The sequence below is a fragment of the Homo sapiens genome, chromosome 2 (genome assembly GCF_000001405.40).
Source record: "Homo sapiens chromosome 2, GRCh38.p14 Primary Assembly".
Taxonomy (NCBI): Eukaryota; Metazoa; Chordata; class Mammalia; order Primates; family Hominidae; genus Homo; species Homo sapiens.
Genome location: NC_000002.12, coordinates 10,554,926 through 10,568,373, shown reverse-complemented (window position 1 = coordinate 10,568,373; position 13,448 = coordinate 10,554,926).

Sequence of the window (13,448 nt, the reverse complement as noted above, 5' to 3'; positions counted from 1 at the left end):
GGAGAATGGCGTGAACCTGGGAGGCAGAGCTTGCAGTGAGCCGAGATTGCGCCACCGCACTCCAGCCTGGGCGACAGAGTGAGACTCCGTCTCAAAAAAAATAAAAAGAAAGGAAAAAAAAAAAGAAAAAGAATTGCTTTATCGAAGGGACATGTTTCATGGCTCCTCACAAAACCATTTCTATAGATAACTCATAACACTGTAAGGTTATGTTTTTTAGATATTTTTCTGTTCTATAGACAATGATAGACACATCTGTTTTAATAATACAAATGGGATCACACTATATATGCTGTTCCTGAACTTGATTTTTGTAACTAACAATATATTAGAGATATTTTCCCAGGTCTATACATATTAATATGTAGGGTGATCTACCTCATTCTTTTGTATAGAGTATTTCATTACATGGCTGACCCATAATTTATTTAACTCTCTGTCTACATACAGTTCAACCTAAAAATCTAAAGAAATAACCTTTTAAAATCTTTTTTCAAAAAAAGTTTACATTCAAGGAGACACGTGCTTGTTTGTGAGATGGGCATATTGCACACTGGTGAGGAGTGGGCTTCCAATGCACCCGTTACCCAAATAGTGGACACTGCATCCAGTAGGCAGTTCCTCAACCCTTACCACCCTCCCAGCCTTTGGGGTTCCCTGTGTCTGTTATTTCCATCTTTTTTTTTCTTTTTCTTTCTTTTTTTTTTTTTTTTTTTGAGACAGAGTCTCGTTCTGTCACCCAGGCTGGAGTCCAATGGTGCAATCTCAGCTCACTGCAACCTCCGCCTCCCGGGTTCAAGTGATTCTCCTGCCTCAGCCTCCTGAGTAGCTGAGACTACAGGCACCCACCACCATACCCAGCTAATTTTTGTATTTTTAGTAGAAACAAGGTTTCACCATGTTGGCCAGACTGGTCTCGAACTCTTGACCTCAGGCGATCCACCTGCCTCGGCCTCCCAAAGTGCTGGGATTACAGGCATGAGCCACCATGCCCGGCCAGTTATTTCCATCTTTATGACCATGTGTACCCATAAAAATCATTTCTATAGTAAGTATAACCCAAGTTATTTTTTAAATGAATGTAGTAACTTTGCAAAGCATTTGTATGTAGTAAAACAATGGAAATGTCATTTCGGTTATCATTTTCTTTCTTTTTTTCACTATATGGAGCTTGATAGTTTTAACTCCACCAGTTAGAATAGAGTTTTAGCATCTTTTTTATTCATTTGTCAGAAGAGCAGAAACAAATACTTTATAACATTTTTGTTATAAAGTAACAAAAACAATTTTCATAACATTCTCTTAAGTACCATTTATGGTACAACAATTGAAATTATTAAAGTTCCTGGGACATTTCTATGGATTTCCCATCTCTTACGAATAACCCCGTGTTATTCTTCAGCTACAGGAGAGGGTGGGGTGCGTGGGGCTGGGGCAGAAGCAGGAGATCACTTGGGAAGCGCCATAGCATCGTGGGTGGGTGATGGGGCTGGCCCAGGGGTAACAAGGGTAGAGCCCCAATAGGTTTTGCAGGTAGGATTGACAGGATGTGGAGGAGAGGAGCCAGGCATAGCTCTGACATATTTGGCCTTAGCAATGCCAAAGGTGGGACTGTCCTTGCCTGGTACCACAAAAACCACAGCAGAAATAAGTTTGGGGGTGAGGAGGTAATGAGGGATTCTGTTTTGACCAGAATCAGCTTATTTTATTATGTACGTATTATTTATATGGGGACAGGTTCTCACTCTGTTGCCCGGGCTACTGTGCAGTGGCATGATCACAGCTCGTTGCAGCCTCAACCTCCAGGGCTCAAGTGATCCTCCCCCCTCAGCCTCCCAAAGTGCTGGGATTACAGGCATGAGCCATTTTATTTTTTTTTATTTATTTATTGTTTTTAGAGACGGGCTTGCTATGTCGCTCAGGCTGGTCTTGAACTCCTGGCCTCCAGTGCTCCTCCCACGTCAGCCACTCAAGTAGCTGGAATTGCAGACTTATTTTAGATTGAATGCTTTTCATTTTTCTCTTTTTGAAACACCCTGTGGTTCATGTTCTTACTCAGAGTAACAGTCCATGTCCCCATAGCAGCCCACAAGGCACCACGTGGCCCCGGCTGGCCTGTCCAGTGCTCTCCCCTCCGTCCGCTCGTCCTCTGCATGCTGGCCTCCCTGTCATTTCTAGAACACTCAGGCATTCTCTTAAGCCAAGGCCTTTGTAGTTGTGATTCCCTCTGCATGGAATGCTCTTCCCCAGCCATCTCCTGTCACTCTCTCACCCACCCCATGAGGTCATGACCACGCTATTTAGATTGTCACACCCCATCTCCTGGATTGCAGATGAGATGATATGCAATGTGCTTTTTAAAAAGACTACTATGGACAATGTCTAACATATACCAAAGTAGAGACAAATTTAATGTGCTTCCATATTCCCAGCACCTGCTTCAGTAGTCAACAGTAGCTGACCCTGTTTCATCCTCACTTCTACCCATTGTCCCATTATTTTGAAATATTTGATCCCCAGACGTCCTATTGTTTCATTCATAAATCTTCATAGTGGCTTACTTGTTTATGGTTGATTCGCCAGCCCCACTCCCTTCCATAGCAGCCTAGTAAGGGTAGGGATGTGGGTTTGGATGCGTTTTGCTCATTGCTGTGTATCCAGCATCTAGAACAATGTCTGGCACCTCGTAGCTACTTATCAATATTTATTAGATGAATAATTAGGTCAAGTTTGATGAAGCCTGAAGATTGAACTCTGGCTTTAATACAAGAGGGGTATTAAATGTTTTGACTGCAGCTGTTTGAGAGGGGCTGGGAATGCTGAAAAGCCTAATTGGAATAGTTGAGGAGAGAATGGGGAAAAGGAATCAGAAATAGCGATTATGCACAACAGCTGATACAGGGGAACAGAAAATAGGACATCTGAGATCAAGAGAGAGCTTTCTTTAAGAGGGTAGATATTATAGCCTGTCTGTGTGCCCCTGGGAATGATCAGGAAAGACTGAAAGCGATGATGCCAGACAGAGGGCAGCTCCTGGAGTGATGTCAGGAAGTCCGTGTGGTGGTGCTCTGTCGCTGCATAACAAACTACCCACTACTTAGAGGTTTAAAAATTAAAAGCAAGTTAGCTCACAGTTTCAGTCGATCAGGAATCCAGCTTAGCAGGGTGATTCTGTCCAAGTTCCTCCTGAGGGTACAGTCATCTAAAAGCTTGTCCGGGGCTAGAAGAACCCTCTTCCAAGCTTCCACACATGGCTTTTGGCAGGCGGCCATTGTTCCTTGCCACATGGCCTCTCCACAGGGCTGCTTGAATGTCCTCACAGCATGGCTGACTTCCCCCAGAGCAAGCCATCCAAGAGAGCAAGAGACTAAGATGGGAACCACAGTGTCTTTTGTGACCTAGTATTAGAAGTTGCATGTCATCCCTTACTCTGATTTGTTAGAAGGGAGTCACTAAGTACAAAGTAGGGTGGCCAGACATCCAAATAAAGATAAACAAAGGCTTATTAGTATAGGTGTATTCCAAATATTGCATAGGGAATTCTTACACTAAATAATGACTTTATCTGAAACTCAAAGTTAATGTATGACCTGTATTTTTATTTGTTAGATTTGGCAACTTCAGAAGGAATTTGTGGACATACTTTTAAACTACGGCTAGCCAAAGGGAATGGGATGTAGTGCATATGTAGAGCTCAGGCCTACAGAAACACGGCAGATCATAGGGAGAGGGCTGGCGGAGTACTTGGCAAATGTAGATAGGTAGGCGGGTGGGTAGGCAGAGGCAGTGAGGGGAGCAGGTGGACATGCTCTTCTGATTGCTTCTCTTTTCTCACCGGAGTAAGCAGCAAGGTTATGGGCAAGGTAACCTTCTCCCGCCCCGCCATACACCTTGCACAGAGCTTACCCTTGACTCAGACCCTCCATGCTGGGGGAATTACCTCCCTGTGACCATCCTAGGAAGACACCTCTTGGCTCTTGCAGAGTCAGAAAAGCACAGGACATGGAGTTGAGAAACCCGGTTTCTTCTTTTTCTTCTTTTTCTTTTTTTTGAGATGGAGTCTCGCTCTGTTGCCCAGGCTGGAGTACAGTGGCACAATCTCGGCTCACTGCAACCTCCACCTCCCGGGTTCAAGTGATTCTCCTGTCTCAGCCTCCTGAGTAGCTGGGATTACAGGCACACGCTGCCATGACCAGCTAATTTTTTGTATTTTAGTAGAGATGGGGTTTCACTGTTGTTGCCCAGGCTGGTCTCGAACTCCTGAGCTCAGGCAGTCTACCCACCTTGGCCTCCCAAAGTGCTAGGATTACAAGTGTGAGCCACCGCACCTGGCCTGCTTTTTCTTTTCCCTGTTATGGCCTCTCTGGGTTTCCAAAATTCTATCTCTTTTTTCTCTTTTTTTTTTTTTTTTTTTTTTTTTTTTGATGGAGTCTCACTCTGTCACCAGGTTGGAGTGCAGTGGCACAATCTTGGCTCACTGCAACCTCTGCTTCCCAGGTTCAAGTAATTCTCCTGCCTCAGCCTCCCGAGTAGTTGGGCCTACAGGCATGCATCACCACGCCCAGCTAATGTTTTCGTATATTTAGTAGAGACAGGGTTTCACCATGTTGGCCAAGATGGTTTCAATCTCCTGACCTCGTGATCCACCCGCCTCAGCCTCCCAAAGTGCTAGGATTACAGGCGTGGGCCACCTCGCCTGGCAAAATTTTTTTTTTTTTTTTTTTTTTTTTTTGAGACAGTGTCTCACTCTGTCGCCCAGGCTGGGGTGCAGTGACGCGATCTTGGCTCACTGCAACCTCCGCCTCCCGGGTTCAAGTGATTCTTGTGCTTCAGCCTCCCTCAATGTTTTTTTTACTTTGTCCCACAGTAAGAAATCCATTTGACATCATGGTGCAGAATACACGTACATCAAAGGTATTAGAAAATTGTTATCTTGCATCATACAAAGGACGCTGTTATTTTTCTATCCAGTCCTGCTCTAGTTCCTTTACACCTCCCCCCAAAAAAGTTCACACCCATTACTATGGTTCCACCACCCACTAATGAGGGCTCCAACCCCGAGTTGAGAATCACTGCCTACTACCCTAATCAACTGATGGCATTCTTGCAGGAGTATGTTGACAAAGCCCATACTGAAATGTGTCCCCCAAATGTGTAATTCTTCCTATTGTAATGTGATAAATTGTGTAATGAAACGTTTTGCTGGAGTTTTATGAGAATTTTTTTTGACTGAAGACACGAGATGAGTTTTTAATTATTTTTTTCAAAGCTCTATTTTCAGCATAAATTAAGTACAAAATATATTTTATGGAATAGTTATAGGGTTTTTTAGGAAAATTTAAAAGATTTTGTGGTTCTTTCTAAGGAAAACTTTCAATGTGTTAAAAACCTATCCAGGGCCTGGTGCAGTGGCTCACGCCTGTAATCCCAGCACTTTGGGAGGCTGAGACAGGCAGATCGCTTGAGGCCAGGAGTTCAAGACTAGCCTGGTCAACATGGTGAAACCCCATCTCTACTAAAAATACAAAAAAATTAGCCAGATGTGGTGGCAGGTGCCTATAGTTCCAGCTACTCAGGAGACTGAGGCAGGAGAATCACCTGAACCTGGGAGGCAGAGGTTGCAGTGAGCCAAGATCGCGCCACTGCACTCCAGCCTGGGCAACAGAGCAAAACTCCATCTCAAAAAAATAAAAAATAAAAACCTGTCCAGGTTTTTTGTTTGATAAATTTTGTTTTTGAAATGATTTTCAAACCTAACTTTACCCATGTAGCCATGAAGTTAAAACAAAATCCTAGAGTTTATGCTGTCATTGTAAGCAATTACAGATGATGGCCATTACAAAACTTCATTTTACTCTTTGTGGAAGACTAGTCTCCATTTCATATGCAATAGAAGATTCAACTCTCTTTTGCACTTGAGAATACTAAAAGTAAATGTATTTTAGTAAAGAAAAAAAACCCACATGTAAATGAATGTGTGTCTTGGAGCAACTGAATTCTATTCAAAACTTTGGAAGGAAACAGCAAAGTGTTAGAATACGTGATTTTTAAAGTGTATGTATAAATAAATACCGTGAGTAAATATTTGCTTATTTCTTTGACATCCCTAAAAAGTTTATATATACAAGTTGGCATAATTTTTTTTCTTCCCCTTGGGAAATAGTGTAATTGCCTTTATTTGGAGTTTCCTTATATTAACCATTTATAATTATAGTAGCTTGATTTAGGACATTACACATCTCTTTGAACGTGGGGAAATTTTCAGTCCTGAAAATTTTTATCTTACAATTTTTTTTTATTAACGTGTACATTTTCCAAAATTAATGCAATAACAAATCTGACAGTTAATATTTGAAAGAACTATTTTGGCCAGCATGCTGCCTCCTACTCAAAACATCTGTTGTTCCCCATGAGCACATACTGGGTGAATGGAAACTTCTAAGAAAATGTCAGTCCTTACCCTTGGAGATAGGACGGCCTGAGGCAGGAGTGTCAGGAGGGACACAGGTCACCATGCTGGTGCGGGCTCCGGGTGTGCAGCTCCCTGCAGGGGGTGGAACCCTCCCCACTCCCTGGGCATCCTGCCCAATGGGAGTCCCAGATGCACATCTTAATGCACGAGGAAGTTATTATTCTCTCACTGTTGTCAGTTGCAGACCCTGTTTGTGACTATTCTGTAAACCCAGATGGAACTTCAAAGCGGTAGGGTGGAGGGAGGCCAACTATATTTTTCTGGTAGCCTTAGGTTTCTTTCCAATGTAGGACAAAATCACGAATCTCAGCCTCTCAGGATTTGAGGGATCTTCTAGTTGAACTGGCTGAGACGCCTACCTGATTGGATTTCCCGAGTTGCCTTCTCTCCCATTTCAGATGATCTCATTGTGAGTTGAGATTTGGAGAATCAAAACCTCCCTCCCCGCCCTTTCCCTAGCTTCCTCCTGCCCTTGCTAGGTCTGCCTTCCAGGGTTCTGCAGAACTGCTCTGATTTCTCCTGGCGCTCCCTTCTCTGTCCCCATTTCCCTCTGCACATCACCCCTTTCCTTGCTGGGACCCACCTCCAGTCCCCTCCACTCACCACTCAAGCTCGTGGGAGAGGAAGCTCATCTCCTGATCTCCAGCCTTGCTAGCCTCCCTGGGAGCTTCGACACGGCCTCCATTTCCCTCTTGTCCTCGGCCTCCTTGGTCTCTGCCGACTCCTCATCCTCACCCACGCAGGTGTTAACATGCTCCAGGATGTCTTCTTTAAGCCTGTCACTCTTCCTTCCATAGTGTCACCTCTCTTCAGTGTCCCAGAGCTGCCTCCCAGATAGCCTCTGGGCCTTTCATCTGGGTGGCCGCTGGCACCTTGAGTTCCACATGCTCAAAGCAAAACTCATCCACCCCATCCCACCCACCCGAACACTTGCTGCTACTCCTCATTCGCCCGTCTATCAACCTGAGCCAGAAGTCACAGTTCCTGCAAGCACTACTTATCGAGCACTCTGCAGTTGACTCAGCAAAAAGAGCCGTTTACTTGAGTTTATGTTTCACGGGGGAGACAGACGATGCATCCAGTAGACACAATGCAGGCCACACGAGCCACTGGGCAGGCAGGAGAGCTGGGAGGGCAGGGCTGAGAATGCAAGAAATCGGCTGGCTCAGAAGAGGCCTCTCCGAGAAGGTGAGAAGTGAGCAAAGCCTGGAAGGAGGGGAGGCAGTTGGCCAGGGTATCCGGGAGGAACATTCTAGGCAGAGATCTCCAGGGTGCATCAGAAGCCCCTGGAGGGCATGTAAGGTGGAGTTTCTAATTCAGTGGGTCTGAGGTGGGGGCAGAAAACCTGCATTTCCAACATCACAGATGCTGCTGCTGCAGCTGGCCTGGGGCCCCACCTGAGAACCACTGGCTGGTGCAAAGGCCCGAGGCAGGGCTTTGCCCGGATGCTCAAGGAAGACGCCATTGGCCCCTGGGGCTGGCAGGGAGTAAAAGATTCCCCTGTAATCCGGCGGGTGTGGCTTGGTGTCAGCTGTACCAGAGTGAGTTGTGGGGCACTTGGGTCCTTGCATTGCTGTCCCAGCCCATGGAGCTCTCCGTGGGGATCTTTTCATCCCGGGAACCTCAGCCACAACTTCCTCCTTGCCCTTTGCTCGCCTCTGCAGCCTCCTGGCCCAGCAGCCTTCCCTGCACGCAAATGGCAGCAGCATCTGGGCTCCCCAGGCCAAGCTGTGGGAAACTCTAAGCCTTTCATGATGATGGGCTTTCAAAGTCCAGGACGGTCTGATGAGTGAAGACAACAGAAGGAAACAAGACCTGGGTCTGGTCCGGACTTGCTCATGGCGAAGATTTCAGTTAGTGGCCAAGTCACTTAACCCGTCCGTGCCTTGGTGTCTACATCTGTAAAATGGGTTTAATAGTATCTGTCCCCTAAGACTTCAGAGGATGTTAGTGGAGCCTAGTGAGTGAAGTCCATTAAATTCAGAAGAAAGGCGTAACTAAATACAAAGCACTACTAGAATTAGCTCTCAGGGTCTTTAAGCCAGGTTGCATCTTGTTTTAAGAGGGTTACCATGGCGATGAGTTTGTTTGAAAAGCATATGTTTAAAAGGCTTGGCTATTATCTTGCAACAATAAGTAAATTTCATTTTGCTGGTTCCCATTGTAACAGAGGCGCAGCGCCTCACCAGCAGCCATGACAGCCAACACTGCTGCGACTGCCACCTTCTGCCATGGCAAAGAGCACGGTTACTCCTGCTGTACATACAGTGAGTGCTTACTGTACGTTGTAGAGGCCACTGTGGTGGCATCTTGTCATGCGGATAGAGGACTGTCCTGTGGGCAGGACCCACCAGAATAATGCTCCTGCCATACCCACATCTATGGTTATGCTGGGTCTGCACTGGGCCAGAGATGTTGGCGGGATGGGCGGGGAGGGGTGAGGCTGAGCATCCTGCAGGAACGACTCTGTACCAGGCACCATCAGATTCTTTACACGTCACATCTCATCAAATGCCCCCGGCAGCCTGGCACTGTCCCGGGCAGCAGGATGGGGGTGTGGGTGCATAAGAGGTAGGACGGTCCCTCCCTCCATGAGAACAAAATTCAGCCTAGAAACGCAGACAGCGTGGCAATGCTGGGGCGGTGGTGGGGGTCCTAAAACTCAGGCACAGGGGCCAGCCCAGAATCTGGGGTCCTGGGGCTGGGCAGGGGCTTGGGTCAGTCCCTGGGTGCAATCCCAGCCCCACCGCGCAGCAGCTGCATGACAGTGGACAAGTCACTCACCCTCCTTGCCCTGGTTTCCACAAACAGGAGCACACACAGCGCTGTCAGTGGGACGTGGGGCACGCCATGTTCAGAGGCTCCATGTGAGTCTCTGGCAGGCAGCAGCAACTGAATGAATGGGGCAATGGGGACTGTGGCCCTGGATGAGGACACAAAGCTCCTCAGGTGCTGCTCTAGCTCCATGGTCCTGATTGGACAGGAAAGACCCTGTCACTCCGCCGTTGCTTCTTCTCAGGGCTGGACCCACCACAGGCACCTCACACACCTCCTGGAGTGCAGGAAGCAGGACCCCTTGTCTGTGTGGGGCCACATGAGCAGAATCTTGCTCAGGTCTGAGAGCCCCACCTCTGCTAAGAGGGGCTTTGAGGGGGTCACATATCCCCATGTTCCTGCTCACGATTGGGCTGTGGTGTCCCTGCTGTGCCACAGGCCCAGTCGCAGCCAAGGCAGGACCAGGGGCTGGAGGGTCTCGGAAGCTGCCGCTCAGCCCCTGCCTCAGTTTCCTCACACTGTGAAGGTGGAGTCAGGTGAGCCTCCCGTTGCCTGGTTTTCCTGGGGAGGGTGGGGTCTTCCTGTCCAGCTTGGACGTGGAGTGGAGCACCCCTCTTTCCCACAGTCCCGCCAAACTGGACTCATTTTCCTTCAAAGCCTAAGTCTTGTGAAGACACTTGTGCCCTGGAGGGCCTGGCGGCCACGAGGTGGACACTCCATGGCAAGGCCTCGTCATCAAGGCACCTGCCGCCCAGCACAGCGCTGTGCACAGCAGGTGCTTACTAAATACAGGCTTAATGAATAAGTGAATGAATGGAGAAGGGCATGAGAGAGGGGAAGAAACTCATCTGTATTAGCTCAAAACAGCCCGAATTCTGGCCTCCAGTCGGCATGGGACCAAGGAGAGCTGCGCATGTGGTGATCTGAGCCTCAGCCAGGGTGGGCCCAAGGGTAGGGGTGAGGCGAGGTGCACCCATTTTCCTGGGAGCTGAGCTGGAGGCTGATCCCGGCTCAGGGCCTCCTGCTTCCTTCCCTGTGTGGGGAAACGAGAGGCATTTCCTGGAAATGCAGCCTGGGTGCAGCGGAGGACAGAGCCAGGTAGGGTGGGAGGAGGCTGTGGGCCAGGGCTCTGGGACAGGTGAGAAGACACTGGCGCTCTGCCCAGAGACCCTGTCCCCCAGCAGAGTGGCTACGAGTTTCCTTCCCATCAGAAGTCAGGCCCTGCAGGTCCATGGACCAAGACAAGCCACCTCCAACCAGAAAGAACTCTGGAGAGACGTGCCTGTGTCCACGCCCATGGTTGCTCAGGGACCAGTCAGGCAACCTCCTGCCTCACTTTCCCCCTACAAAACAGGGAGATCAGCATGGCCCGTTGTGTGCCCCCAGGAGAGGCACCTGTTATACAGAGCAGGGCGGCAAACAATGGCCCATGGGCCGAACCCAGTCGCCGCCTGGTGGTGCTTCCTTTTCAGCCACCCACCTTGTAGTGCCTGGCAAGGGCAGCCTAAGGGAACCCACACCCTCTCTGACACCTCTGTTGTGTGGATCTCACAGCTCTCCCTGCTGTCATAGCTTATCATTTATTTATTTTTATTATTTTTTTGCGACTGAGTCTCACTCTGTCGCCCACGCTGGAGTGTGGTGGCATAATCTCGGCTCACTGCAGCCTCCGCCTCCCGGGTTCAAGCGATCCTCCTGCCTCAGCCTACTGAGTAGCTGGGACTACAGGCGTGTGCCAGTACACCTGGCTAATTTTTGTATTTTTTGTAGAGGCAGGGTTTCACCATGTTGGCCAGGCTGGTCCCGCACTCCTGACCTCAGGTAATCTGCACGCCTCAGCTTCCCAAAGTGCTGAGATTACAGATGTGAGCCATCGCGCCCAGACAGAAGTTATCATTTATTTATTTTTGCTCATCTTCCTCTACTAGAATGGAAACTCCACTGAGAGCAAGGATCCCATTTATTCTTTATTTCCGTATCCCCGGTGTCTTTGAAAGTGCCTGGTACGTACTGGCACAACGTTTCTGAAATGAATGAGTAGATATGGCTCTACTGGTGTCCTGTGACCCGCGTAACCAAGTGCCAAGAGCTGGGTGGCTCGCAACAACAGAACCCGCTCTCACCGTCCTGGAGGCCAGGTGTCTGACATCGAGGTGTCAGCAGGGCCCTGCTCCCTCCAAAGGCTCCTGGGGAGGCTCCTTCCCGGCCTCCTCCAGCGTCTGGGGGTTGCTGGCAATCTTTGGCACTCCTTGGCACTCCTTGGCTTGTGGACGCTTCACTCCAATCTCCGTCTCCGTTTCTGCCCAGAACTCCCTTGTGAGTCCGTGTCTTTGCTTTCTCAGGAGAATTGCTCATTCCAGCCGCAGTTCTTCCAGGGGGCGGTCTGTGCGCGTGAACTGCCTGAGCGGGGAACCCAGCCAGATCATGAACTGCCCAGGCCCCAGCTCCCGGCTTGATTTGCTGCAGTTTTCCTAATTGGAAGAGAAACGTATGCTGATTATTTTTAAAGACATAAATGTTACAGAAATGTAACAAAAGCAAGTGAAATTCCCCCCAGCCCCATCTCTCCCTGCTCAATGGCGTGATCGCACACATTTGGGGCTGGTGCCTCAACTCAGGCCTCTCATCACCCATGGAGGCCTGGGATGGGCAGAGCGTGACGTCAGGCACCATGGGGGGACTCGCGGGGGCGAGCTTTACCTTTGCTCTTAAGGAGCTCCCAGTCTAAAGAGGGAGACAAAAAAAAAAAAAAAGCCCAAGGAACTGTCCTAGCCAGAGGGGCCTAAAGAGGCCATGACTAAATGGCCTGTGGCTTTCTGCAGGGGATCCTGGAACAGAAAAGGACTTAAGGTGAAAACTGAGGAGATCTGAGCCAACAGTGGACCTGAAGAATGACTGTCAGTCCATTCATCGGAACAAATGGGCCGGACTCATGCCCCATGTTAATAATGGAGGAACCTGGATGTGGGGTTTATGGGAACTCCCTGTACTATCTTCTCAATTTTTCTGTAAATCCAAAACTGTTGGAAAAATTAAAATCCATTAAAAAAAAAAAGACACAATATAAGGCACCAAGGCAAATGGTCTGCTGAGACAGAAGAAACCAAGCCTCGGAGCTCCCCACCGGCTTACGCTGAGGGACCCCCGGAGGGAGGCCAGCTGGCCCTTGCAGCCACACAGGGTGAAGGAAATGAGTTGGGTGTTTCGGGAGAGAGCAACCAGATGTCCCATCTGGCTGTGGCCCGCATCCCTCCCCGCCAGGGCCCCGCTCGGTAAGCGGTATCTGCAGCCTTGGGAATGCCCCAAGGGGAAGGGGACAAGAGGAAAGGGAGTGAGACCATGGGATGGACCCGCGGGCCTTCCTGCTCTAGTTCCCAGCCTCTGCCTGCCCCACGGGAGGCTCCCTAAGTTCCCCGAGAGTGCAGGAATGCACAATGAGCAAATGCTGGTTGCTAGGCCTGCGTGCGCACAGGCAGACTCTCCGTTGTGTCTTTCGGTGCCTGCAAGAGCCTTGCGGGTCTGCAGCTCATAAACCCTCTTCACTCACCATCTATTTTGCTATTTTTTAATTGCCTGAGGTCAAATCCAGAAAGCAGCTTCTGAGATTCCTGCGGCTTCCTGCCCGCCTGGTGTCCTACGCTACCATTTTCCTGTGCAAACACTTGAGGGGCGTTGGGAGCCGAGGGAATTGGAGCAGCAGGTCCTGTTCCTTCCCCTGGCTGTGTGTTTAGGAAGGTCTTTGGAAACACAACTGTTTGGAAAAGTCTTGAAATAGGAAATAGAGTCCCAGCTGAGTGTCTAGGTTACATGAGAGTCAAAAAATATAAAACCATTTCCTCCAAGGTTGCCAAGTTTGGAGGGCCCACCCCGCTCTGCACATCCTGCAAATGACTCAACTTGAATTTACCTCCGTGACTCTTGCGCGACTTCCACGCGTGAAGCCAGCACCCAAAGGAGCACTGGGTGCCCCTGGCGTCCTGGACACCAGCCTCCCCTCCATCACAACACTGGGACCCTATCCCAGGCTGGGCCTGGCCCACTGCTCAACAAGCATCACACTGTCACCTGGGGCATCTGCAGAACTTTTCATCAGACAAGGAGAAATGGCCTGTCCCTTGCATGGGGAGAATTCCTCTGCTATTTTAACCATTTTCTTTTCTTTTTTTTTTTTTTAAGACGGAGTTTCGCTTTTGTTGCCCAG